General features: G+C 39.1%; 1 long non-coding RNA gene across 1 annotated transcript in view, besides 1 other annotated feature; it reads right to left on the bottom strand.

Annotated features, from left to right (window-relative positions):
- Positions 1–1,780: 1,780 nt before the first annotated feature.
- VLDLR-AS1 (VLDLR antisense RNA 1) overlaps positions 1,781–27,423 on the bottom strand; it is an 86,722-nt gene continuing 61,079 nt past the window's right edge. Inside the window, exons 2-4 of the long non-coding RNA NR_015375.2 lie at positions 5,528–5,681; positions 2,488–2,582; positions 1,781–2,144 (exon numbers count right to left, since the gene is read on the bottom strand). This is a non-coding gene — a long non-coding RNA (VLDLR antisense RNA 1). The remainder of the gene's footprint in view (positions 2,145–2,487; positions 2,583–5,527; positions 5,682–27,423) is intronic.
- Positions 15,122–15,623: an enhancer, noted in NCBI's record as "NANOG hESC enhancer chr9:2548993-2549494 (GRCh37/hg19 assembly coordinates)". NCBI's record gives its function as "activates a minimal SCP1, AML or CMV promoter by ChIP-STARR-seq in primed H9 embryonic stem cells {active_cell/tissue: H9 hESC(primed)}" and the evidence as "EXISTENCE:reporter gene assay evidence [ECO:0000049][PMID:30033119]".

The following is a 27,423-nucleotide window of genomic DNA, read 5'->3' on the forward strand; positions in this document are numbered from 1 at the left end:
GATAAAATTAAAGGGGTGTTCAGCCTGGAGAAGAGTGGCCTGAGGTTTATAAGAAAGTATTTTTTTTTTTGAGATATTTAAAGGCAACAGGTGGAAGAGGGATAGGGCTTGTAAATTATGGGTCTTGAAGTGTAGAGAAAATTACAGCTTCTCAGGCCAGCCCAAGAGGAAGGGAATGAAAAGCCAGTCTCCAACCCTAGATGTTACAATTTTATAAAACAAATTTGGAGTGCTTAAAAGACACCAAATCTCCAAACTGCACCCCCACCGCAATTCCAATTCAATGATGACTATTTTCTGTTGTTGTTGTAACTGTCCCCAGGATGGACCGTGTGAAAGACTTTTTGAACATCAGCGTAATTACCACCATCAGTTCCTGTTCACATGCCTACTTACTTCTTCAAAAAAAATCTAATAAAATAATTCTTTCTTAATGAAACCCAGCCATTTTTCTTTTAAAAATGTTATTTCATTGTCTAAATATATGGTGGTTCCTCTCTCTTTTTAAGATCTTGATAGCTGGACTTTATAGAAGTTAGACACCCACAGGTTTGTGATTCACTGGGCCCCCTCTATAGTTTCACATATGCCTTTTTCAGGGAACTATTTGGACTTGAGAATCTTCTTCAATATTCTTCTCTGTAAAGACCAATGCAAATATCATGTTATACTGAACCTAAGACACCAGTGGTTGTAAGATGCACCACTATTATGTACCAGTAAGAGAGAATAAAATGCTGCCAATTAAACTCTATTCCAAATTTCTTCACAAGTAGAGTATCCAACTCCTCTGAGTCACTTTCAACTCAGAATTGAAATATTTGTTCCCATTTTTCATACGATATTGGTATCCATGTCATCAAGAACATTGAGAATCCAGCATTTATTTACAAAACATTCTAATATTATCTTTGAATCTTCTTCCAAGCAACTAACACTTGATCTAGAAGCTTTGATGTTGTTACTTTTTAAAAAATCTAACCAGCAGATGACAACAGTAGATTTACTTTTTTTTCCAGTAAACCAGGATTTACCTTTTCTTAGTTTGTTGACTGAAACTTTGAGGGGTTGAAGTTGACCAGTTATGCCATTGTGACTAACAACAAAATTTATACTGCATGGGCAATGACACAACATTCCAGTGCCACCAGGCCAACAGATGTCCGGGATGTTAAAATGTAAAGTATGATTGTATTAGATTTGACATAATATAATAACTCCTTTTGCATATCTGCCTTCTTGTCTTAGGTGATACCCTTACCTGATAATCTGAGCACTGCTTTCCTAGCTGACTGGGATAACCTTTATTAGCTCCTTTTTACTTTAGCTGAGCATCTTCTCAAATGCTCTACTGGGTTGTCCTTATTTCTATCTTATGTACAACCTACTCTACTTTGATAATATTCCTAATCCTTTCATTTCAACTAATTTTCCATTTTATGGTCATCAACTAATAGAAAACAAAACAAAAATGAAAAGGTCAACCAAGATTTTGCATCTCAAAAGAAGACACACTTCATCTCTCACTGTTTTAAAGAAGAGCTATACAGCTTTATGGTAAAGAGACAGTTCTTAGCCATGGCTGTGAGAAAAAATAATTTGTAGAGATACTTAAAATGTAGACTGCAGCGGGATTACATAAGACCCACTCACTCTGACTCTTGGAATGAAGGGTGAGGCTTTCAAAGAAGCAGACATTTATGCCTTTCAAAAAGTTCCACAGATTAATGTGACATGTCATCTAAGTTGCAAACCCTCAGGAAGATAAGGAAATCAGGCATTTTTCAGTTCATGTAGGGACAACTTTATTGGCACATATGAACGTAATTTTGAAATTAAGAGGGCTTAAGTCTAAGTGGGCTGCAAAAAACAAGCCACACTGACAGACCATGGTTGCATTCAAACCATGATATTCACACCATCCTGTACTCAACATGATTCAGCTAAGGGCTGTGAAGGATGCTGTGATGACCAGACATGGGAATGGGTATGGTGAAAGCATAGGCAGAAAACAAAGGATGAGATGTCCTTTTATCAACATCCCAACATCCCAGTTGATGCCTGGTCTGAAGAAACAGAGAAAGTCATCTTTTCCTCCATTCTTCAGCCATAGCTTTCCAGGGCCATTTCAGGGGCAAGATGACCTACAGCATAATTAAGAAATAGTTTCATGAATTGGGGATATCCTACAGCTTTAGAGTGGAGGGTGCTACTAATGAGGGCTTCTACTTGGAAAAAATTCAAATCCCTGCACCAAAGGGCTCAGAAGGCAAGTTTATGGCTATGGCAGAGCTCTGATATCCTCTCCTAATCATCTCCATTTTTAGCAAAAGTTCTTCTGAATTTTAGATAGACATTAAGATCCCCCACGTTGCCCGGGTAAAGTAGATAATTGGTGATTCTACTGTTAGCTCTATTGCCTTTTAATTGTGCCAGGGAATTCAGAATGCAGTACCTACTCCAAAGCCCAGATCACCTCTTGCTCACCTGTAGATCCAGGGACCTCTTGTTTGTGACCATGGAAGAGTGTAAGACTGATTGTCTCCTGTAAGCTTCTTTTCCTTCTGGGCCTAAAGCAGAGGCTGGAAGCAAGAATACCAAAAGCACAAATCATTGCAAATCAGTGCTGATGGCTGAAATAAATACTTATGCTGTTCTTTTACTTTTGCTACCATGTATTGAACAAACACTATGTGTCAGGCCCTTTATATACAGTCTCATTTATTCCTCACCACAACCGATGTAGACATCATTGTTCACCCCCATTTTACAAAGAAAAAACAGACTCAAGTTAGGCAACACCCCCAAGGTCACAGAACAAGTAAGTGCTGAATCCAGGAATTAATCTCAGATCTGATTCCAAAGTCAAAGGTCTCTCAAGCGTTGGATGTATTTGAAAGGCAGTGGGGAAAAAATAATATGTATTGATGGATGGATAGCAGGATGAGTAGATGGACAGATATGATAACATAAATATAATAAAGGGCATATTATAGAAGCTAGGTGGTCATTACATGGGTGTTCAATGAATGATTTTTTAAACTGTTTTGTATGTTTGAAAAACATTGAAATAAGTTAGGGATAAAGAAGAAAATTGTGAGGAATTCAAAGACATTGCCAATTAAACATTCTTGCAAGCATCTGTCTCATGTTTCACTAACTATGTGTTTTAGAATTTTAAGTTAATTTAGTTTGACAAACATGTGTTAAGGCTTTATTACGTAACAGGTGCCAAGATACCTGCCAGCCTAGGATGCTAAATTCATTGTAGGTGCTGGGGCTGCACAAGATGGAGCTCTTCTGGGGTTTACAAATTAGCAGCTGACAATACCATGACCAAAAACCTGCAATACAAAGCTGACTTGATAAAGGCCTATCATGGACTTGTGAGGTGCTAAAGGAGCATGAGGATGGATAAGATAATAATAGCTGAGAGGTTTGGAAAAGTGTCAGGGAACAGACAAAATTGAAATTGCGCCTTAGAAACTGGGGAAGATGTCAAAAGGACAGGAAGAGGAGCAGTATCTGAAGTAGGGGCTTTGGAGCAAAGGCACAGAGGTGGGACAGGACCTGCAAAGAATGCACAGGAAAAGAAGAGACTGTTGGAAAAGAAGGAAGGAAGCACTGGGCATTACCCACCACAATGTGGAACCAACTTTCACAAAGGAAATGTTTGATAATTATTAGAATTCTCTCAGATTTCACTTTGTGGAGCCTTTGTTTACTTTTCAGTAAAATGGGAATAATATCTGGTCTCACAGACACTGTTTAAAGGATTAAATGAGGGAAAATGGTGAAAGTTCCTAGGAGAGTGCCAGCCACGTGGTCAGCACTTAACTAAGCAATGCAGACTGAGCTACACCCACGAACCTGAGGCTGCACATAGACTAACTACATAGCAATAGTCAAGATTTGTGTTAGGCTGTAAGACAAATCTTGATTGCGAATTGTGTTACAATCCTGCTAAATTCCAGAAAGGAGGAGCTAAATAGTTTTGTCAGGTATGACTGATCTTTTAATTAACTTATTGATTGAATGACTGGTTTTACTTTGGGTTCAGGACTCAATCAACAAATTCAATTGTACAAGAAGTGAAACTTTATTTTTCTGTAACCACTTAACTATTTTGAGCCTATCTTCAGTGTTAGAACCTAATTTCCCTCAGTTCTGCACCTCCACCCCTTTCACTGAGTTCCAGGGGTCTTACATTGTACCAGAGCAATGGGTGGAGGGAATTATCTCTTTCCCCGTGTGATGCTATCTCAGCACCAGCCTTGGCTGATATGACCTTATTCCTGGTGGGTCTTCACCACTGAGCTGTTCCCCAGCATGAGACTCCTTCAGACATGGCACATTTTCTCTCAACTGTTGCCAAGCCCCTTGTTGGCACAGGAAACTTTATTGCACTGCTCAGGCCACAGGGGCACCAGGAAGCTCTGTGGGTCCTTCATTACTATTCTGGTGGGACTTTTGAGCACAGAAGACTCATTCTAACACTTGTGGGCTGTGCTGGGGTACACTCAGTTCTTTGAGGCTGGCTCAGAGCATCTGTCCCCTGGATACCACTCAGCCATTTCTGTTCTGGGGTTTTGCAGTCTTCTTGAGCGCTACTTGGAGGTGATGACAACCCCAATCCATCTTCAGTTCTGTCATCCACAACCTTTTCCTCTAAGGAGCAGGGTAGAAAGTCTTTTTCTCAGAGGAGAGGGGAGCCACCAGCATCTAAGAGCTGTCTCTGCTTCCCCTTCCGCCTCCACCTTCCCTTCCCTCCTCCCCACCTCCCCACAGCATCTAACAGTTCCCTTTCCTCCCCTAGCTCTAGCACTGTCCTCACAGCATGCCTGGAAAACTTCAGGTCCTACAAGGGGTGGGAAGCCTTGCATCAATTCAGCTTAGTGTCTCTATGACAAGTTCCCTCAGGGTCTTGACTTTGGAAAATCAAAAGCCTTTTTTTCCTGCTCTCTGGTGAAACTTCTTTTTTTCCTGATAGAACAAATGATACCTAAATGGGTTTGGGGGAGGATGCAGAGGCAACAGGAGCTGCCAGAAGAGGAAAATCAGTTAATATATTTTAATATATTTAAAATATTCTGCCAGTATTCTCCTCATCCCTTTAAATTGACTTCATCCCTTGAACAAGGGAGGACATTTTTCCTCCTAGTTCTTACGTCTCAGAATTTCAGTTCCAGGTGACCTGCTGTAGGCTGGGCTGCAGTGGCACTAGGTGACCCTAATACTTAAAGAAGATGAATCACACTTCTTGAAAGCTGCCTCACCCTTAGAGTTATGGCCGACTCCCTGCAAGTTTCTTCAAGAAATTCAGCTGATGGCTCCCCAAGCTGCTAATCACCAAAGTGCATGATACTTTAGAAATAACACTTGATTTCTAGTATTTGTATGGCTGGTGTACCTACTGTACAGTCTTTGAAAAATTATAACAGAAGATTCTTTAGTCGGGGCTATGCACTTCACAAGCTTCACTTGCTAATAATCACAACAGGGAATTAAGTATTGCTCATACTACCACCTGTTCACGTACGGCTTCTTTCTTGCCTTGCTGGTAAGATTTCTGCTCCTCCTCATCCTTTAAGGCATGTCTTTAGCTTGATACTGGAGTCATTTCTTTGGTTTCAGTTACCCTTTCTGGTTCATATGATAGTCTTCTATATCAAGCTTGGAGCCTGAAAGAGAAGTAACTTGTCAGTTAAAAAAAAAAAAAAAAAAAAAGATAAATGCCAAAGATCAGGATGTTTGAGAAAAAAAAAATATTAACTTGGTTCTTTTCTTCCCTAATTACTCCCCCCAAACAAGACCCCAAGGAGTTTCATTTCTAAAACATAACTCTCTATATTAAGAAGACCCCCAGTTCAGGTTGATAAATACCCATAGGGCCTATCTCTCACCATGAACCTGCACAGGCAAGGGCAGAAAACTCTCTCTCCATTAAGTACTAAGAAACTTTCCTTGTCACAAATTAAAGTCCTCTCCAGTGGCCAAGGATTTATCAGCAACCTTGTTCGTAATGATCATCTTATGAATGGTGATTAAGAAAAATAAATCACTTCCTCTTGCTAATAAATTGCTCCAATTGCTTCAAAATGGCAGACTTTCTGCTGAAATGACCCTCCCCTGGGCCAATAATAATATTCCTAGAGAAAAACTGGGGAAGTAAGGGGTTGAAGTGGGGTGGGGCCCATATTTCCAGCATCTGAAGGGAAACAGCAACACATGGCTTCATCACCTGACCTATATTCTTCAACAGTCCCTAGAAGAAATGTTGACCTCAGATGAGCTGAGATTTTGTTCATCTTCACCCATCCAAAGAGTTACACCTTAATTATTCAGTTGAACTTGTATTATTTAGTAAACAAGAATATAAACGCCCAAGATTTGGTGTTTTATCAATTACAGCCTTTGTCTTCTGAATTCTGTACAAAATACACAGACATTTCGCTCCTAACATCCTCCCTCAAAATAAAGCACATGCTTAAAAAAAAAAATCACCTAAGCAGACTTTTTCCAAGAAGCACATATAGTACTTTTTATTCAAGGCAACATGCAGACCTGTTAAACATTTTTTTTTTAATTTTTTTAAGTTTGCAGTCTTCTCTGAAGACTTCAATAAAGCAAAGGGAGCTCATATGCCTCACCCAGTCTGCCTGACTTAAAGTAGTGTGAGGCAAGAATCATCCACATGTAGAGTTAAACAATGAAATTTTCCAAGTATATACATGCTGTGAGAATCAATAACCTCTTCTCAAACCAGCAAATTGGTTTCAAGTATTCGGTTCACTGGTTACATCCAACAGCCACAATAAGAGGCCACCTTCCGAGTGAAAGGGAAGGTGAAGATGAATTCTTGAAAAATGCGTTCTCATCAGAATTCCTGTGCTTCTTACTGCATGGAGGGTATTTGTAAAACTCTTCAGAAAGAACACTGAGTTTAATTTCAGGCAATCTTTTTTGTTGATTTTTTTTCACTAACTTTAATTTTCTTATGTGAACTGTGATATACAAAGGCAATCACTTTCGGAGTAAAATTAAGAATGGCAAAAGTAATTTTACAAAAACTTCTATAGAAATAACATTGTTCAATTAAGTTTATAGAGTATGCCCAAAAGAAAAATATAAGAATATTCACATGAAGAAATATTAATCTAGTGCTCCAAAGACCAGAATATGTACTCCAGGGGCGTCAGGGGCAGGAACCATGAAACAGAGATAAAAGTTGCTTTTTGAGATTTTTCTCGCCTTAGCCCTGAATGCTGCATGCTCTGAAAGAATCCAGTTATGGGAACACAAATTACCTCATCCTCAGTTTCACTTTAAAATAAAATAAATAGGTTACATTTTCTTTTTTTCTTTCTTTTTTTTTTTCTTTTTATGAGATAGAATTTTGCTCTTGTCACCCAGGCTGGAGTGCAATGATGCGATCTCAGCTCACTGCAACCTCTGCCTCCCGGGTTCAAGCAATTCTCCTGCCTCAGCCTCCTGAGTAGCTGGGACTACAGGCACCTGCCACCAGGCCTGGCTGATTTTTGTATTTTTTTTTAGTAGAGGCAGGGTTTCCCCACATTGGCCAGGCTGGTGTGGAACTCCTGACCTCAGGTGACCCGCCCGCCTCGGCTTCCCAAAGTGCTGGGATTACAGGCATGAGCCACCTTGCCTTGCCACAGGTTAGATTTTCAAGTGTTATTAAGTTGCTTACACAAATTTAAAGTCATGAGCATGACTTTAGGATCTGTGCTTTTTATGTCAAGTGCTCCTCTTTCTCGGAATTTTAACAATAAAGTTTTTTTCAGAGTGCTGTGCAGTATCTCATTTCATGAAAATAACTCATGGCATAATTTGATGTTTTCTCGATCTTAGATTTCTCTTTGCAGCCAGGCTATTCTTTCTAAAATAAAACTGATATTCTCTAGAAAGGTTTGCCTGACGCAATTGGCATTTCTACTGAGCTATGTTCTGGGAATATTTGTCAGAAAATCTGGTCATTGAAAGCAGAATTGTCTGTGTCCTTCATTCCCAGGCAAATAACCTGTGTTTTCTCTCTTCCTCCTTCCTTCCTTCTCATTCCCTGAGGGCATCCACCCTTCTCTCCAGCAATCCATGTGTCATCACCTCCTCAAACTGCCTTTCCTCCCATGCTCTCAGAGGGCTTCTGCACTAATCCTTCTACCCTTGGAATCTCCTTTTCTTTTCTTCCTCTTGACATGGAATGTTAATACAGAAATTCTTGCAAAAATATGGCTACCTTTATAGTCTAGATAAAAGAAAAATCTTCCTCCAGCAGGGTAACTTGTGTTTTCTTTTTTTAAAATTTTTCTGGGGGGTTGTTTTTTTAAGTTCCAGGATACATGTGCAGGGTGTGCAGGTTTGTTACATAGGTAAACATGTGCCATGTGGTTTGCTGCATCCATCAACCTATCACCTAGGCATTAAACCCAGCATGCAGTAGCTATTTTTCCTGATGTTCTCCCTCCTGCTGCCATACACAATAGGCCCTGGTGTGTGTTGTTCCCCTCCCTGTCTCCATGTGTTCTCATCATTCAGCTCTCACTTATAAGTAAGAAAATGTGGTATTTGGTTTTCTGTTCCTGAGTTAGTTTGCTGAGGATGATGGTTCCCAGTTCCATCCATGTCCCTGCAAAGGACATGATCTCATTCCTTTTTATGGCTGCATAGTATTCCATGGTGCATATGTACCATGTTTTCTTTATCCAGTCTATCATTGATGGGCATTTGGGTTGGTTAATGGGATCTAATTAAATGGGATCATTGATGGGCAATTGGGTTGATTCCATGTCTTTGCTACTGTGAATAGTGCTGCAGTGAACATAGTGTGCATGTATCTTCATAACAGAATGATTTATGTTCCTTTGCGCATATACCCAGTAATGGGATTGCTGGGTCAATGATATTTCTGGTTCTAGATCTTTGAGGAATTGCCACACTGTCTTCTAAATTTACATTCCCATCAATAGTGTAAAAGCAATCCTATTTCCCTGCAACCTCGCCAGCATCTGTTGTTTCTTGACTTAATAATCGTCATTCTGACTGGCATGAGATGGCATCCCATTGTGGTTTTGATTTGCATTTCTCTAATGATCAGTGTTGTTGAGCTTTTTTCATATGTTTGTTGGTGGCAGAAATGTCTTCTTTTGAGAAGTGTCTGTTCATGCTCTTTGCCCACTTTTTAGTGGGGTTGTTTTTTTTCTGGTAAATTTGTTTAAGTTTCTTGTAGACCCTGGATATTAGCTCTTTGTCAGATGGATAGACTGCAAAAATTTTCTCCCATTCTGTAGGATGTCTGTTCACTCTGATGCTCGTTTCTTTTGCTGTGCAGAAGCTGTTTAGTTTAATTAGATCCCATTTGTCAAATACTTGCTTTTGGTGCAATTGCTTTTGGCGTTTTTGTCATAAAATCTTTGCCAGTGCCTATGTCCTGAGTGGTATTGCCTTGGTTTTCTTCTAGGATTTTTGTAGTTTTGAGTTCTACATTTAAGTCTTTAATCCATCTTGAATTAATTTTTGTATAAGGTGTAAGGAAGGGGTCCAGTTTCAATTTTCTGCAGATGGCTAGCCAGTTCTCCCAGCACCATTTGTTAAATAGGGAATCGTTTCTCCATTGCTTGTTTTTGTCAGGTTTGTCAAAAATCAGATACTCGTAGATGTGCAGTCTTACTTCTGAGATCTCTATCTTGTTCCATTGGTGTATGTGTCTGTTTTTGTACCAGTACCATGCTGTTTTGGTTGCTGTAACCTGTAGCATAGTTTGGAGTTGGGTAGCGTAATGCCAGCTTTGTTCTGTTTGCTTAAGATTGTCTTGGCTATACAGGCTCTTTTTTGGTTCTGTATAAATTTTAAAATAGTTTTTTTCTAATTCTGTGAAGAATGTCAATGATGGTTTAATGGGAATAGCATTGATTCTGTAAATTACTTTGGACAGTATTTTCTACTTAAGTGCACATACCTTCAAAGGGACATATATAGAAGAAAAGGAAAAGGGACCTATCCTAGCCAGCATATCACAGGGCTCATGAGCAGCTTCTTCCTTTGAATGGTCCCTGGGCTCTCCTCCATTCCCATCACTCTGGCCCATCCCACACTCACTACTAGAATTGCAGACCTCAGAACATGTCTTGATGACATCTTTCATCTCTGAAGCTCTGGAAATTGCTAGTAATTGGAATTCTCTTTCCCTTCATAGCCTCCAAGTCCTTCTCAAAGGTCATAGGGACTTAGTAAATGTTAGGGTTTAAAACTACTATTTTAGGGACACCTCATCCATTCAACAGGCCTTTATGGACTGACCTAGAAGTACTACTAACACTAATTATATTTTATTTACTGATAACCTTAAACCCTTATTTGTTAAAGGAATTTTAGCATTATTAATAGGACTGTTGATGACAAGCCTAGCACCTAAGAAAAACTATGAGTTAGAACCAACTGAATTATACACCTAATCTCTGATAAAGAGTATATAAGTTGAAGGCTCCTCCTTGTGTGTTTGCTTGCTTTTCACATTTTTTACCTTTCTGCATATTTATTTATTCAACAAATATTTGATAATCCCCTGCTACACATTCTATTAGGTGCTATGACTAAAACAATAGGCTAAAGCAGAGAGCTCCTGCCCTTGTGGAGCTTACAGTCTAGTAGAATAGACAGACAACCAAATACTGCGGGAGTGGGGAGAAAAGCTGCTACAAAAACAAATGATTAAAAGGATGGGTACACAGTGCTATACTAAGAATAATCAGTCTAGTCAGAGAGGCCAAGGAAAGCTGAGTAAAGGTGGCAGAAAAGAATGTTCCAGGAGGAATAACATGCGCAAAAGCCCCATAGCAAAGGCAGCTTGGCAAGGCAAGGGCCTGAGGAGAAGTTGATGTTGGCTGGGTGCGGTGGCTCACACACATCATCTCAGCATTTCGGGAGGCTGAGGTGAGCGGATTGCTTTAGCCCAAGAGTTCAAGGCTAGCCTGGGCAACACAGTGAGACTCCATCTTTACCAAAAAAGAAAAAAAAAATTACCCAAGCATGGTGGCACATGCCTGTGGCACATGCCAGCTACTGAGGAAGCTGAGGAGGGAAAATTGCTTGATTCTGGGGAGTCGAGGCTGCAGTGAGCCATGATCACACCACTGCACTCCAGCCTGAGCAACAGAGAGACCCTGTCTAACAAGAAAAAAAGAAGCTGATAATCAGGAACATATATAAGCAGTGGAGTGGGGTGCATGATGAGGTTGCACAGGCTGAACTTTATGGGGCTTTATGAGGAAGAGTGAAGGAAGCCACTAAAATTACCTGAAAAACTTTTGACAGGATCAGTTAGGAACTTTAGATCAGCTCTATAGTCACAGCATAGAGAACCATTGGTGGCAAGAGCAGCTGTCCACCATCTACGTCTTGAAGGCCATTGCTGGAGTTCTCATGAGAAATAAAGGTCACTTAGACTAGAGTGGATGGAAACAGACTCAAGATAATGGTAGATGGGGAAACTCACAGGATCTGGTGGTGGGTTGGATAAGAGGGCTGAAGCTCAAGAAGCATGGTCAAATGATGCTTAGGTTTCTGATGGATCCTAGTTTAACTATTTGGTGCTTTGCTCCGTCGTTGGCTGTTGCCTATGGTTTTTAAGCATGAAATATTTTTTTCTTCATGCTCCTACTCCATCTTGAAGGGAAAATTCTCTATTGCTTCAAACCTAACAATGCAGAGAGTCCCTCAGCATTATTCCACCAAATTCCCCAAATAAGATTCCCAAACAATTTGTTTCTAATATTTTAAGTAAGTTTGATCTCTCCCCCGTATATATTATTTCTGTCTAGTATAATATCCTTCATTGAAATGGGAAATCAGAAAGTGTGATATAGTGGTGAAAGATTTTTTGCTACAAGTCATTGAAATCAACTTGAACTAACTTTGACACTAAAGAGAATTTATTACAAGAATATGAGAGTGTCTCATGCAATCAAATGCAGAAATGCAAGCAAAACATAGGAGTAGGAGGGAATCCCTCAGATTCTCTCTCCATATTATCTGTTCTTCTCTGTATGGTGGCTTCAGTCTCATCTTGGAAGGCTGGTTTTCTCCGCACTTAAATCCACAAGATTGCCCCATAATAGCTCCTGTGTTTATATGCTCTGGTTTTAACCACAAGGACTGACCTTGTGGTTTGTTTGTCCTCAGTGTCTCAAGGATGGAAATGTAGCCTAGCTATGGGTCAGGTGTTCACCATCACTTAACTCTGGCTGGGGGATGAGTGGATACAAGAGTTCAAGGAAGAACTAGCCAACACCAATTCTGAGTTTTGAGAGAAGGGAGAATTGTTATAAACTTGACAGGCCACATGGAGAAGGAGGGAAACAATAGCTCCTTTGCTTCAGTGAACATGTGTTAAGCACCAACCGTGCTCCAGGGCCAGGCTAGGCTTGTGGATATAAAAACAAGTACAAAAACTTCTACTTTCAAGGAACGTAACATGCAGCACTGACCGTGAACACACCTGTAAAGCAAGGCTTATTCTTATCCCCTCATTGTCAGTGTGGGGAAGAGGCAATTAAAAGGAATACAGAGCATAAGGGTAGGCAACGAAGTCCCGAGAAAGCAGTCCAAATCAAGTACCGATAATAAGCAAAAGTAAAGAATTGGGACCCGTAAGAACTGCTGGAAGTTTGGGTGGCTGAGCTGACAAGAGTACGGTGTCTGTGTAGTTGATGTGGTAAGAAATGAGGCTGAAAATTTATACAGGAGCCTTTACTGAGGATTTATAAGTAAGGGGGAGGGATGAGTGAAGAACAAAGGGAATAGATACACACAGGCCAGGCAATAGAAAGATCCCTTCCAGACTTGTGGCTTGATTACCAGGTAGTTAACCTGCAGGCTATACATTTCCAATCTTCCCCAATGTGTGACATGCCTGTCACTTTGCAGATTTAGTTGTGTTTAATCTTTCCTTTTCAAACAATGCAGAAACAAGCTACATAGTTAATGTAGTGACTATGACCTACAAAAAAGAAAAGCTCATATTATTTCCTTCAGCTTCCTTATCCGGTACAATTTCCCTTCCATCCTTTATCCTCTCAAGCTCCTTGTTCCCTTTTATGATAAGTTTACATTCAGATTAGCTACCTCTCTAGAAAGCTTTTGTCTCCTTTTCAACTTCTTTTATTTCTGGCCTTACCAGTTTTTATTTTTGCATTTTCAGCACTCACTAAATTTCTATTCATTTCTCTGAGCTTTGCTGTCCATTTTAAATGCCTATAGCGTTTTAAATCAATAGTATTATTTTTCACTTTTCCATTGCTCTCTCAATATGATCTCAAAGTGCAGAACAGGAGATATTAAGCCAATTTTAATTGAATAAGTAATTTAAGCATCATTCTTAAAAAAACAAAAACACTTTTAGAATTCACTCCTCTTTTACTTAGAATATTTCCCCATAGGGATGAAAATTGGTTCTTAGGGGGCAAAAATATCTTAGCTATCACAGTGGGTTGTAATCCTCCAATCCTTAACCCTATCCAACTGCATAAACAGATATATACTATATCTGTTGTATAAAATTTCATGGGAAGAGGAGGCAATTTTTTTAAGTCTTAAAAGTCTCCTTAACGGGGCAATAATAAAAAGAAATAGAAAACACAGAAGAAAACAGGTTTAGCTCTAACTTATACTTACATAATGTATAAATATACAAAAGTTAAATGCAATCTTTCATTTGATTTCTACAAAAATCGAGGTGAATTGGCTATTTATTAACATCTTTCTCAACATGTAGATTGATTACCAGGAAGGTAACTTCCTAGTTGTGTGACTTTGATGGCAAATTCCCCTCCATCTATGATAACATAAAATACACATTTCTTTAAAGCAGGGATTCTCAGCTTCAGAACTACTGATATCTCGGGCAAGATAATTCTCTGTTGGGAGGGTGCATCCCTTGCACCGTAGGATGTTCAGCACATCCCTAGCCTCTACACAGTACATGCCAGTAGGAACTTCCTATCACCAACTGATGGGACAACCAAAAATGTCTCCAGACATTGCCAAATGTCCCCCAGGTAGTGGGGTGGAAGAAAACACTCCTGATTTAGAACCACTGATTTACAGCCTACTTAAAAGAAAGATTACTGTTTTTAAATTCACACGCAGTTTCATAATAGCCCAAAGTTACTGAGCATTTACTATATACCAGGCACTTTATATGAATTGGCTCAATAATCCTCCCAACAACCCTGTGGGGCAGATACTAGTATCATGCCTATTTATGAATAAGAAAACCTAGGCCATAAGCATTGCAGTTTGTAAGTGGCAAAGCTGGGATATATGGGTACTTGTGTTGCATTTATATCACAAAGAAGTGCTTGAACTGTTGACTCAAATATAACTATTTTCATTTATACAAAATTATCTGCATCATGATTATGATTATGATGTTGACTTTAATTTAAACCCAGGTCTGAGAAATGAACCATCATGCTACACTATTGCTTTCAGAACTAAAATGTCCTCAGCTATTCTCCTCAATTCTATATGCTTAGTATAAACTATATGCTTAGTATAATTTCATTGTTGTAGAGATTACATATACTGTCACACATCCACAAATATATGCAGAAAAAGGCTGCAAATGCACATATCGATTTAACAGGATTTATCTATGGGAAGTAGGATAACGAACATTTCTAATTTTTATCTTTTTGCTTACCCATATTTTCAACCTTTGCTACAATGAATAAACTTTCAAAATTATAAAAGCAATAATTTTTAAAAAGATTTGATGAGTTAGGTGAATAAGGATAGAGTTTCGGGGGGTAGAGAAAAAAAATATTTTGTTAGATAAGTTCCCTAAATTTGCATTGCTTACACACTAACAGGAGTACCATGTCCACAGATGACTAGAAACTAGACCAGTGGTTCTTTGTTCTCTAATTTTCTACTGAGACTAAATAATACCCTTTTCCAAATTTTCAAGAAGAATTAAATTTAGGGACAACATTTAAAGTTTTGTCCCTGTATATTTTCTTTAAATCTTAGATATTTGCCTCTACTTGTTTCCAGAAAGACTACAAAAAGGCAAAATAAATAACTGAACTAGAAGCAAATAAGTATTTGGGAAAAACTTGGACATCTAAGTAGATTACTTAATTTGTAGGATTGGTAGTCATACAATAATATTATTTTCTTTTTGGATGATTGAATTAAAAACAAGTACTTCAGGACTTCCAAATACAGTGACAGCTAAACAAGGTTGAACTAGATTGAGTTCAAGGGCAGGCCCTGCACCTGATTTTTCTTTATAACTCCCATCAATTGGCATGCTGTGGAAGCCCATCATGATGTTAATGAATTTTAATGAATGAATACAATGAAGAAAGTGTTAATGTCTTAAGAAGAATAAGTAAAACAACTGACATGAGAACTGAGAGGACAGATGCCAGACTGAGTTGTGTGGACAGAGACTGGCTAGTTGTTCACCAAACAATATCTCCTTTCTCACCTGGAAATGCAGTTAGACAATATTCCCGGCATGCCCTGCATTTAGGTGTGGAAATGTGATCCGTTTACATCCATAGGAATGTGGGCAGAAGGCAAGAAACTACTTCTCGACCTGGCCCATAAAACCTACCAGCTGAAGAAAGAAGACCATGGGCACCTGGTGGAAGGTAGAGCCATGGAATGGAAGAAGCCCGAGTCCGTGAAACTCTGCCAAGATAGAAACTGCCCGACTGGGAACACCTACACTGGACCGTTCAGACACAAGAAAATAGGTATGTTATGCCTCTGGAATTTTGGAACTGTTTGTTACATCAGTTGTCTACCCTGACTAATACATTTGTTTCAACCTGAAACCACAAATGCTCAGAAACAACCCTGGAACTGGAAGCTTTTTCCATTCAGCGGATTTATAAAATCTCTAACTAATGCTGCCATCAATCTGTTTTGCCTCCGGAGACAGCAGTACCACTGTTATTGGGATAAAGGCAAGTGTGTGAATAAAGCACTTAAGGTCACAGCTGAACTTAGACTTATGGAATAAGAAAATTCCCTTGAACCAAATGTACTTAAAGAGGCCTGTCTTCATTTTCATGTACCTTTAAATACTACAGAGGGTTTGCTTGTTTTCATCATTGGCAGAAGATAAGCATTAGCAAGAAACATTGCCAGAAATACAGCAAGAACAAAAATGCATCTGGAAAAAATATGGAGAGGGGGTTGCCCAACAGACCCAGGGTATCATCCCATCCCATCTATGCCATCCCATTCCCAATGAACATTTACTGAGTACACCCATGTGAGTCAATGTACTTGTTACTGGAGATATAAAGATGAAAGAGGCAGCCCCTGCACTCAGGAAGCACCACGTGCAGGAGAAAGCATGTGCACAACCAACTCTATAGTGTGAAAATATTTCCAGGCTATTCAAATAGGCATAGTGGGACACTGAAGACCAAGTGCTCTACCTGGGATGATTTCACAGAAGCAAGTGGTTCTTAAGAGTCCCAAGTCTACCCTTGATAAAATAGCAACTTCTTTGCCTTTTCTCCTATTATACATAAATTAACAGCTTTGGCTGAACACTAGCTGATTATCCAGAGAAGATAATAAAAAAAAATAAAAAAAATGGAGGCTCCCTTATTATCAAGAATTTGAGCACATGCCACCTATTTATCTGTATTTGCTAGTCAACATCTGCTAATGCTATATAAATGCTAGAAAAAATAAAGAACTTACACCTTATTAAATTTACAATAAACATAAATTTACTGTATTTCTCCCTGTAGTCAACAAATATCTTGAGGGAGACACTTTGAGACTATGCAAATTTCTTTGTTCCTCAAACCTTTGCCCACTGCATCTGGCATACATTGGTGGATCCATCTACAACAATCACCACTGTGGAGGTGGCCTGGGGTAGTTTTCTCTCATTCGTTCCACATTTATTAATTGAAATTCTATGCAAAAAAAAGAGAGCTGCCACTTCTCCATATGCAATCAATCTTTATTCTCATGGATTACATATTTGAGAATTCACCTGCTTGCTAAAATTTATTTGTAACTCGAAAATCAATACTCATGTCATTTTCTCGGTCATTCACAGATGTGTGCAGAACAGCAAAAATTTGAGAACTCAATGTGCATGTTCCCAGCTGAAATCAAACAAGGTGATACTCTGCCTTTGTTTCAGCTCTCATCCTGTAAACAAGTGCCCTTTTTGCAGTCTATCGAGTGCCATATTTTTCATATTTTTGTGCGTTTTGTTGGTCATTTTGCTGTTTAAAATGCCCTCAAGCATAATGCTGATGTGCTGACTCGTATTCCTAAGTGCAAGAAGGCTATGACAGGCCTGCCAAGGAAAATAACATCCATTAGAGAAGCTTCATTCAGGCATGGGTTATGGCGCTGTTGGTGGTGAGTTCAATGTTAACGAATCAACAAAAAATATTAAATAAGGTGTTTTTAAACAGAAACACACATGAAGCAAGATTATCTATTGATTAGTTGACAATAGCTCACAGAAATCTAAACCTATGTTTCCCTTAAGAGCAATGGGTCAGTGTTCGCTAATTCAGTGTTCATAGTGACTTTATAAAACACAATTACCATGAATAATGAGAAGTGACTATATCTATTCAACCAATTATTTATTTGTGTCCCTATGAACTCATGGTTCATATTTATATTATTTTATAGACTACAATCCAGTACTATCATTATGTATTTTGTGGCTTAATTTTTTCCATCTTTGGCCATTTGAATAGCAACTTTATAGTGGAAAAGTCTAGTGGTGACCATTTCCACCAGGTGATCAATACCAGTATCACCAATAACAATACATGCTGACATCATGAAGGCCATGATTTGATGCACCTAGAAGGATGAGGCACCATTTCTATGGTAGTCTTGACAGGGATGCATAATCTCACTTCAATCATGAGAAGATTCCAAATGGCCCAAACTGATGAACTGATGTGCAGCAAAATAACAGATCAGTACCGTTCCAGTTGTCAGAATCATGAAAGACAAGGAAAGATGGAGAAGCTGTTGCACACGACAGGAGACCAGAGAGAAATAACAACTAAATGCCACATGGAATCCTGAGTGGCATATTGGAAACAACAACAACAAAGAGACATGAATGGGAACCTTCAAAGTGAAGTTCAACTGAAATCTTTAGTTTATGGTACTGTACAAATATTAATTTCCTTGTTGTGATAATTATACTATGGTATGTAAGATGTTAACAATGGAGTGGCACAAGGACATATAGAAACTCTCTGTACTGTTTCTGCAATTTTTTTTGAAAGTCTAAAAGTAGTTCAGAATTTTAACCATTGGGTCACCTTGCACACTCCTGGTTGCAGAATTTGTGGAAGGCAGCAGGGAGGAGGTGGGTGAGAAATTCAGTTTCGGAGACCATTAATTTAGTGAAGTGTTCCATCTTCCAGATAGTTTCTCTAAATCCAAAAAAAATGTGAGGAATAGTACAGTAAATAAATGCCCTCTATTTTAAGATATTACAGAAGGCTTAGTTGTTTCTAGGCAGGATACTTCACTTCTAGCCGGTGACCTTAGGCAAGCCATCATTTCAGTTTCCTCATCCATAAAATGAAGGGACTGAAAGAAATAATCTTATATCTCATATTCCTTAGAACATAAATTCTTATGATTCTAAATTAAACTTGTTATTCAGCATTTGAAATCAGGTTCTGCAAGAATACTCTTTTGGATGGTTATTTTTTCTGCTTTCTTAGTAAAAAGCAGCAGTATTGACATATTACAGAAAATCTAGTAAACAAATCATCATCGTTTGAGGAAATTCTGTGGCAGTGCTCCCTGAAGCTCATCTACAAGATAGATACAAATTACATACTCATAAACAATATAAACATACCTAAGAGATCAAGAATTATGCAGCTCTTTAAAAAGTATAAGTTACTAGGCCGGGCGCGGTGGCTCACGCCTGTAATCCCAGCACTTTGGGAGACCGAGGCAGGCAGATCACGAGGTCAGGAGATCGAGACCATCCTGGCTAACACGGTGAAACCCTGTCTCTACTGAAAATACAAAAAAATTATCCAGGCGTCGTGGCGGGCACCTGTAGTCCCAGCTACTCGGGAGGCTGAGGCAGGAGAATGGCGTGAACCCTGGAGGGGGAGCTTGCAGTGAGCCAAGACTGTGCCACTGCACTCCAGCCTGGGCAATTGAGCGAGACTCCGTCTCAAAAAAAAGAAAAAAAAAAGTATAAGTTGCTAAAACATTACATGGGAAAGCAGGTTATAAAAATGCACATATGCACATATATAACGATCCCAGATAAACATTTTCTCACCCAAATATTTTTAGATGGGGGTGTGGTAGAACTTCTAATAGTCTTGTTGACTGTTATTTTATGAGACATAAGTCATTGATATAAGAAAAACATATGCTATATACTGATAAAATGTAGCACTCAGAATAAACAATAAAATATCTATATACATTAATCGTCATCATATCATAATGGAAATCATAATTTTGTTGGACATTGTTAAATCAGCTGAGAACTTTAACTTCTGCCTATTTCATGAGTGATTCCATTGGGAAAATACTAGGAGGGTAGGATGAGAAATAAAGCAATGGATTTAATAGTGCTCAGTGTGTGATCACTTTACCAGGGTTTCAGAGGGAGGCAGGAGATGGGGAGATTGAATGTGAATCATTTGTGGGTTCATGAGACAATTTCTCTTCCTCCTTTTTTCATGTGACAAATCCATCAGTTTAGTTGAATAGTAAAGAAGGAAGGAGAAACAAGGTTAAAGACAAGGATGGAGTTCAGTTTGTGGCCTTTCGCATGGGTAGTAATTCTCTGCCTCATTTAGTAGAGGCAAGAAAGGTACTCTGTTAAGAATTATAAATTTAAATATTTTGAGCTATAATTAATACACATTAACTTATTTATTTAAAAGCTAATAACTCATTAGGTTTAAAATAATCCTCTAATCACTAATAAATTCAATTTAAATATTAAGATCTATTATTAATAAAACAAATATGGTGACCAAATTAGCATAGGATAAATATCATGGACTCTTGTCGTCCTTAATTAACTTGGTCAAATAATTTCATTCTCTGGGCTCTATTTCAGCATCTCTAGCATGGAAATAATGTAGGTTATATCACATTCGATTATAGTGAAGATTAAATTAAATAATGTACATAAAATGCTTAGCACAGTATCTAATAAATGCTCTATATGTATAAACTATTAGCATAAAGTAACTTTTAAACAGATAAATTATGTATGTATATGTATGCTTAATAAATGTGTGAAGAAGATGGGAAAGAAATATAGCAAAATATTAACAGTGGTTATGTATGGGCAGTAGGGTTATGGTACTTATGTTTTTATTTATTAGATTTCTTTATTTTGCCAAACTTCCTACAACAGACAGATGTTTCCTGTATAATGAAAAAATATATTGTTTTACAAACTAAGCTAAGTAAACAAGAACTGTAAACCCACAAATACATTTATTTATATCTTTTTAAAATTCTCAATGATCCATTATCTAATCATTTCTGACCCAGAGAAAAAGATAGATATTGACAGCGCATTTTCACTTTATCTTAATAGAAGTTGGGATGGGTTTACCAGGCATCTGCATAGACAGAAATGCAGGATAATAAAAAATTAATTGGGGAAAGATGAAGAGCAAAGGAAGAAGATCTCCAGGAAGAGGCCGAACTAGAAAAAAATGAAGAGACAGGAAAAGAACTAAGAAAGAGGGCATTGCCAAAATTCTCACAGACCAAAGAGAGGTTGCCAACAGAGCATCAGAAGAAAGAAAAGACCAGAGTTTACTGTGGAGTATTTTGTGCAAGAACCATCCATAGGAATTTTTAAAACTCTATTGGAGACTTTTGGACTCCAGGCCTACATGTATGGAGCTTGGAAGTTGCTATTCCACCTTAACAAACATTAAGCTGAACAAACTAAAACATCAAAAACTCTTCTTAAGTTTGAAAAAGAAGTGAGATCACAATTGCCACAAATAAATCAAATACCTGGTAATACAGCTAACAAGGGAAGTGAACGATCTCTACAAGGAAAACTACAAACCATGGCTCAAAGAAATCAGAGATGACACAAACAAATGAAAAAATTTCTCGTGCTCACGGATAGGAAGAGTCAATATTGTTAAAATGGCCGTACTGCCCAAAGCAATTTATAGATTCAATTCTATTCCCATTAAACTACCATTGACATTCTTCAGAGAACTAGAAAAACCTTTTTTTTGTTTTTGAGACAGAGTCTCACTCTGCCACCCAGGCTGGAGTGCAGTAGAACAATCTCGGCTCACTGCAACCTCCACCTTCTGGGTTCAAGTGATTCTTGTGCCTCAGCCTTCCAAGCAGCTGGGATTACAGGTGTGCACCACCATGCCCAGCTAACTTTTGTATTTTTAGTAGAGATGGGGTGTCACTGTGTTGGCCAAGCTGGTCTCAAACTCCTGGCCTTAAGTGATCTGCCCGCCTTGGCCTCCCAAAGTGCTGGAATTACAGGTGTGAGCCACCGCACCTGGCCCAAAACTGTTTTAAAATTCATATGGAACAAAAGAAGAGCCCAAATAGTCAAGGTAATCCTAAGGAAAAAAAAAAAAAAAGCTGGAGGCATCACACTACTCAACGTCAAACTATACTACAGGGTTACAGTAATCAAAACAGCATAGTACTGGTACAAGAATAGACACATAGACCACTGGAACAGAATAGAGAACCCAGAAATAAGACTGCACACCCACAACTATCTGATCTTTGATAAACCTGTCAAAAACAAGCAATGGGGAAAGAATTTCCTATTCAATAAATGGTGCTGGAAGAACTGGCTTAGCCATTAGCAGAAAATTGAAACTGGACCCTTTCCTTACACCACATAAAAAAATTAACCCAAGATGGATTAAAGACTTAAATATAAAACCTAAAACTATAAAAACCCTGGAAGACAACCTAGGCAATACCATCCAGGACATGGGCATGAGCAAATATTTCATGATAACACCAACAGCAATTGCAACAAAAGCAAAAATTGACAAATGGAATCTAATTAAACTAAAGAGCTTCTGCACAGCAAATGAAACTATCAATAGAGGAAACAGATAACCTACAGAATGGGAAAAAATTTTTGCAAACTATGTGTTGGGGTGATCAGACCCAACACCAGGTCGTGGGGGCGGCGAAGTCTGGTGGAGTCAAAGGATTGAGAAAAAGACAGTTTGAGAAGTAAAGTGGGACCAAAGGGCCATCGTGATTGTGGAGGCTGTGAAGGCCCTGAGCTCTGGGAGCCCACCCTATTTATTGGTAATCCAACAAAGAAACAGGTGGTGAGAATGTGGGGGTCAAAAGGGCGTGTTGCATTAAGCACATGATTTAGCATGTGACGGTTTAGCATTTGCTCTGCTACTTGAGATAATGGAGAGGAGGTTCTTTTAACTAAAGATACAATTGATCCCAGGAGAGCAAGGGGCAAGGAGCCAGCAAGTCTAGACACATTCCAGAGCCACAAGCCCTGGATTCTATCCAAGCCACAAGGGATTTTATGCCCTGGGCTTAGATTATGGTGAGTCAGGGTAGCCTTCCACCCTTTAGCACAGAGCTTGGTGTTCCAAAGGCCACAAGGTGTTTTAGACCCTGGACCCCGGACATGTTCCAAGACTCTTTTACATTATGTCAGACATGCAAGCCCTGCCTCAGCTTCTCCCAACACTCAGCTTTTCCCAACAACTATGCATCTGACAAAGGTCTAATATCCTGCATCTATAAGGAACTTAAACAAATTTATAAGAAAAAACAACCCCATTAAAAAGTAGGCAAAGAACATAGACACTTTTCAAAAAGAAGACATGCATACAGCAGCAAGCATATGAAAAGAAGCTCAGCATCACTGATCATTAGAGAAATGCAAATTGAAACCACAATGAGATACTATCACACACAAATCAGAATGGCTATTATTAAAAAGTCCAAAAATAATAGATGCTGGTGAGGTTGTAGAGAAATAGGAATGCTTTTCCACTCTTGGTGGTAATGTAAATTAGTTCAACCATTGTGAAAGAGTAGCGATTCCTCAAAGACCTAAAGACAGAAATATCATCTGACCCAGCAATCCCATCACTGGGTATATACCCAAAGGAATATAAATCATTCTATTATAAAGACATATGCATATGTATGTTCATTGCATTACTATTCACAATAACAAAGAAATAGAATCAACCCAAATGCCCATTAATGATAGACTGGATAAAGAAAATGTGGTACATATACCTCATGGAATACTATGCAGCCATAAAAAAGAATGAGATCATGTCCTTTGCAGGGGACATGGATGGAGCTGGAGGCATTATTCCTTAGCAAACTAACAGAGGAACAGAAAACCAAATATCGCATGTTGTCACTTATAAGTGGGAGCTGCGCAATGAGAACACAGGGACACATAGAGGGAAACAACATACACTGGGGCCTATCAGACGTGGGAATGGAGGAAAGAGGGGATCAGGAAAAATAACTAATGGATACTAGGTTCAATACCTGGTGATGAAATAATCTGTTCAACAACCAACCATGACACATGGTTACCTATGTAATAGACCTGTACATCCTGCACATGTATCCAGAACTTAAAAGTTTAAAAATAAAATTATTTCCTTTGTGTTGACTTTAGATCGCCTGATGACTATACACCTTGGTGTTATCTTTTTGCAATGAATCTCTCAGAAGTTCTTTGAGCTTCTTGTATTTGGATGTATAAATCTCTAGCAAAACAAGGAAAGTTTTCTTCAATTGTTCCCTCAGATAGGTTTTCCAAATTTTTGCTTTTTCTTTCCCTTCATGAACGCTAATTATTCTTAGGTTTGGCCATTTTACATAATTCCATATTTTTTGGAAACTTTGTTCATTTCTTTTTTTTGTTTATTTTTGTCTGATTGGTTTAATTCAAAAGCCTTGTCTTCAAGCTCTGAAATTCTCTCTTCTACTTGGTCTAGTCTGCTGTTAACACTTTCCACTGCATTTTGTAATTCTTTAAAGGTGTCTTTCATTTCCAGAAATTTTGATTGGTATTTCTTTAAAATATCTATCTCTTTAGAAAATTTTTTCATTCACATCCTGAATTGTTTTTTAAATTTCTTTATGTTGGTTTTTACCTTTCTCTTGCATTTTCTTGAGTAACTTAACAATCAACCTTTTGATTTCTTTATCTGGTATTTCAAATATTTCATCTTGGAAAAAACTCACTTTAAATATAAAGATGCATGTAAATTAAAAGTAAATGGATGAAGAAAGATATAACATGCTTACACTAATCAAAAGAAAGTGAGATTCACTATATCAATTTCAGACAGAGCAGACTTTAGAGCAAAGAAAATTATTAGGGATAAAAAATGTATTACATAATGATAAAGGAGTAAATTCACCAAAAAAACATAATAATCCTTATATGTATGTACCTAACAACAGAGTGTCAAAATATGTGCGGCAAAAACTGATAGAGCTGTAAGGAGAAATAGATTCATCCACTATTGTAGTTAAAGACTTCAACACTCTTGTATCAGGAATGAACAGATCTAGCAGGCAGAAAATCAGTAAGGGTATAGCTGAACTCAACGATACCATCAATTAAATGGAAATAATGGGCATCTATGGAATACTTTATCCAGTACAGCAGAATGTACACTCCCGCCAATCTCACATGGAAAATTCACGAAGATAGACCACAAAGGAAGAAAGGCTATTACAAGGAAGAAAAGATAGTCTTTCAATAAGTTGTGCTATAACAACTGGACATCCACATGCAAAACAAAACAATACAAAACAAAACTAGAAACAGACCTTACTCCCATCAGAAAAATTAACGTGAATAGGTTATAAACTTAAATGTAAAACTATAAAATCTTTAGAAGATAACATAGGAGAAAATCTAGACAACATTGGTTTTTTAGATGAGTTTTTAGATACAACACCAAAGGCGTGAACTGTGAAGGAAATAATTAATAAGCTAGACTTCATTAAAACTATAACTTGCTGCTCTATGAAGGACATTGTCAAGAAAATGAAATGGCAAGACACAGACTGGGAGAAAATATTTGAAAAGACAAATGTGATAAAGAACTATTATCTGAAATATACAAAAAACTCTTAAAACTCAACCATAAGAAAATAAACAACCTAACTAAAAAATTGTCTAGAGAGGTAGAGCAAGATCTACAAATAGAAGGCTCCACCAATTGACCTCTAAAGGAACACAAAATTTAACAACAATCTCCACAAAAAAAGCACCTTCATAAGAACAAAATCAGGTGAGCAATCACAGTACCTGGCTTGAACTTCATATCATTGAAAGAGGCACTGAAGAGGATAGGAAAGACAGTCTTGAACTGCCAATGCCACCCCTCCCACACCCCCTGGCAGCAGCCGTGTAGCACAAAAAGAGAATATGTGTGTTGGAGGAGGGAGAGCACAGTAATTTAGGGAATTTACATTGGAATTCAGTGCTGCCCTGTTACAGTGGGAAGCAACACTGGGAAGAACTCAGCTGACGTCCACAGAGGGAACGTTTAGACCACCCCTAGCTAGAAAAAAATTGTCCATCTCAATGGTCAAAACTCAAGTTCCAGCAAGCCTCACCATCGCAGGCTAAAGTGTTCTGGGGTCCTAAATAACAGTGAAATGCAGTCTAGGCCACAAGAACAGCAACTCCTAGGCAAATCCTAATGCTGTGCTGGGCTCAGAGCCAGTGGACTTGGGAAGCATGTGACTAAGTGCAATACCATCTGGGGCAGCCAAGAAAGTGTCTGTGCTATCTCTCCCTCAACCCTGCACAGTGCAGCTTGCAGCCTCTGAAAGAGACTCTTTCCTTCTGTTTGTGGGGAGGAGAGGGAAGAATAAAGAAGACTTTGTCTTACAGCTTGGATACCAGCTCAGCCACAATAGAATAGGGCACTGCCCAGAGTCCTGAGGCACCCATTCCAGGCCCTAGCTCTAAGATGACATTTCTAGACATATCCTGGGCCAGAAGGGAATCTGTTGCGTTGAGGGGAGGGACACAATCCTGATTGGATTCATCACCTGCTGACTACAGAGCCCATGGGCCCTGAATAATCAGCAGCAGTAGCCAGGCAGTACCTGCCATGGGTCTAGTGTTTAACTCTAAGATGGACCAGTTGTGGTGGCTACAAGGAGAGCCTCCTTCTGATAGAGAAAAGCAGAAGAAAGAGTAAAGGGGACTTTGTCTTGCAGCCTAGGTACCAGCTTGGCCACAGAAGGTACCAAGCAGGATCTTAGGGTCCCTGAGGCTAAGGGACATCCTTGGCCTTGGCTCTTAGACAGAATTTCTGACCTGCTCTGGGCCAAAGGGAAGCCCCCTTCCCTGAAGGAAGAGTCCCAGGAGTGGCAGCATTCACCACAAGCCAACTGAAGGGCTCCTGAGCCTTGAGTAAACATTGACAGTAGCCAGGCAGTGCTTCCCATGTGTCTGGAGCAGTGGTGGCCATGGGGACAGACTCCTCTGTTTGTGGAAAGGGTAGATAAAAGTGGGAAGGACTTTTTCTTGTTGCTTGGGTGACAGCTTAGCTGCAGTAGAACAGAGCACCAGCTAGATTCCTAAGGTTTCTGATTCCAGGCCCTGCTCCCAAATGGCACCTCTGGACCTACCTAGGACCAAGGGGAACTCATCACCCTGAAGGGAAGAACAAAAGCCTGGCTGGCTTTGCCACCTGCTGATCGTAGAGCCCTAAGGTCTTGAGTGAACATAGGCAGTAGCCATGTAGTGGTTATAGTGAGCCTTGGGTGAGACTAGTGCTGTGCTGGCTTCAGGTCTGCCTCAGTACAGTCCTAGTGGTCGTCATAAGGATGATTGTGTCACCCCTCCCCCAGCTCCAGGCAGCTCTGCACAGAAAGAGAGAAAGACTCTGTTTGGGAGAAAGTAAGAGAAGAGAGTAAGAGTCTCTGCCTGGTAATCCAGAGAATTCTTCTGGATCCTATCGAAGACCACCACGGCAGTACCTCTACAAGGCTGCAAGAGCCACAGCGTTACTGGACGCGTGGTGCACCCCCAATGCAGACATGGCTGCGGTGGCCAAAAACATAGATAACAATACCCAAGTCCCTTTGAATATCTGAAAAGCCTTCTCCAGAAGGATGGGTATAAAAAAAGCCAAGACTGCAAAGACTACAATAAATACCTAACTCTCCAATGCCCAGACACCAGCAAACATCTATAAACATCAAGACCATCCAGGAAAACATGATCTCACCAAATGAACTAAATAAGACACCAGGGACCAATCCTGGAGAGCCAAATATGTGACCTTTCAGACAGATAATTCAAAATAGCTGTGTTGAGGATCACAGACAAGGATTTCAGTATGCTATCGG

This window comes from Homo sapiens, chromosome 9 (genome assembly GCF_000001405.40).
Source record: "Homo sapiens chromosome 9, GRCh38.p14 Primary Assembly".
Lineage (NCBI taxonomy): Eukaryota > Metazoa > Chordata > Mammalia > Primates > Hominidae > Homo > Homo sapiens.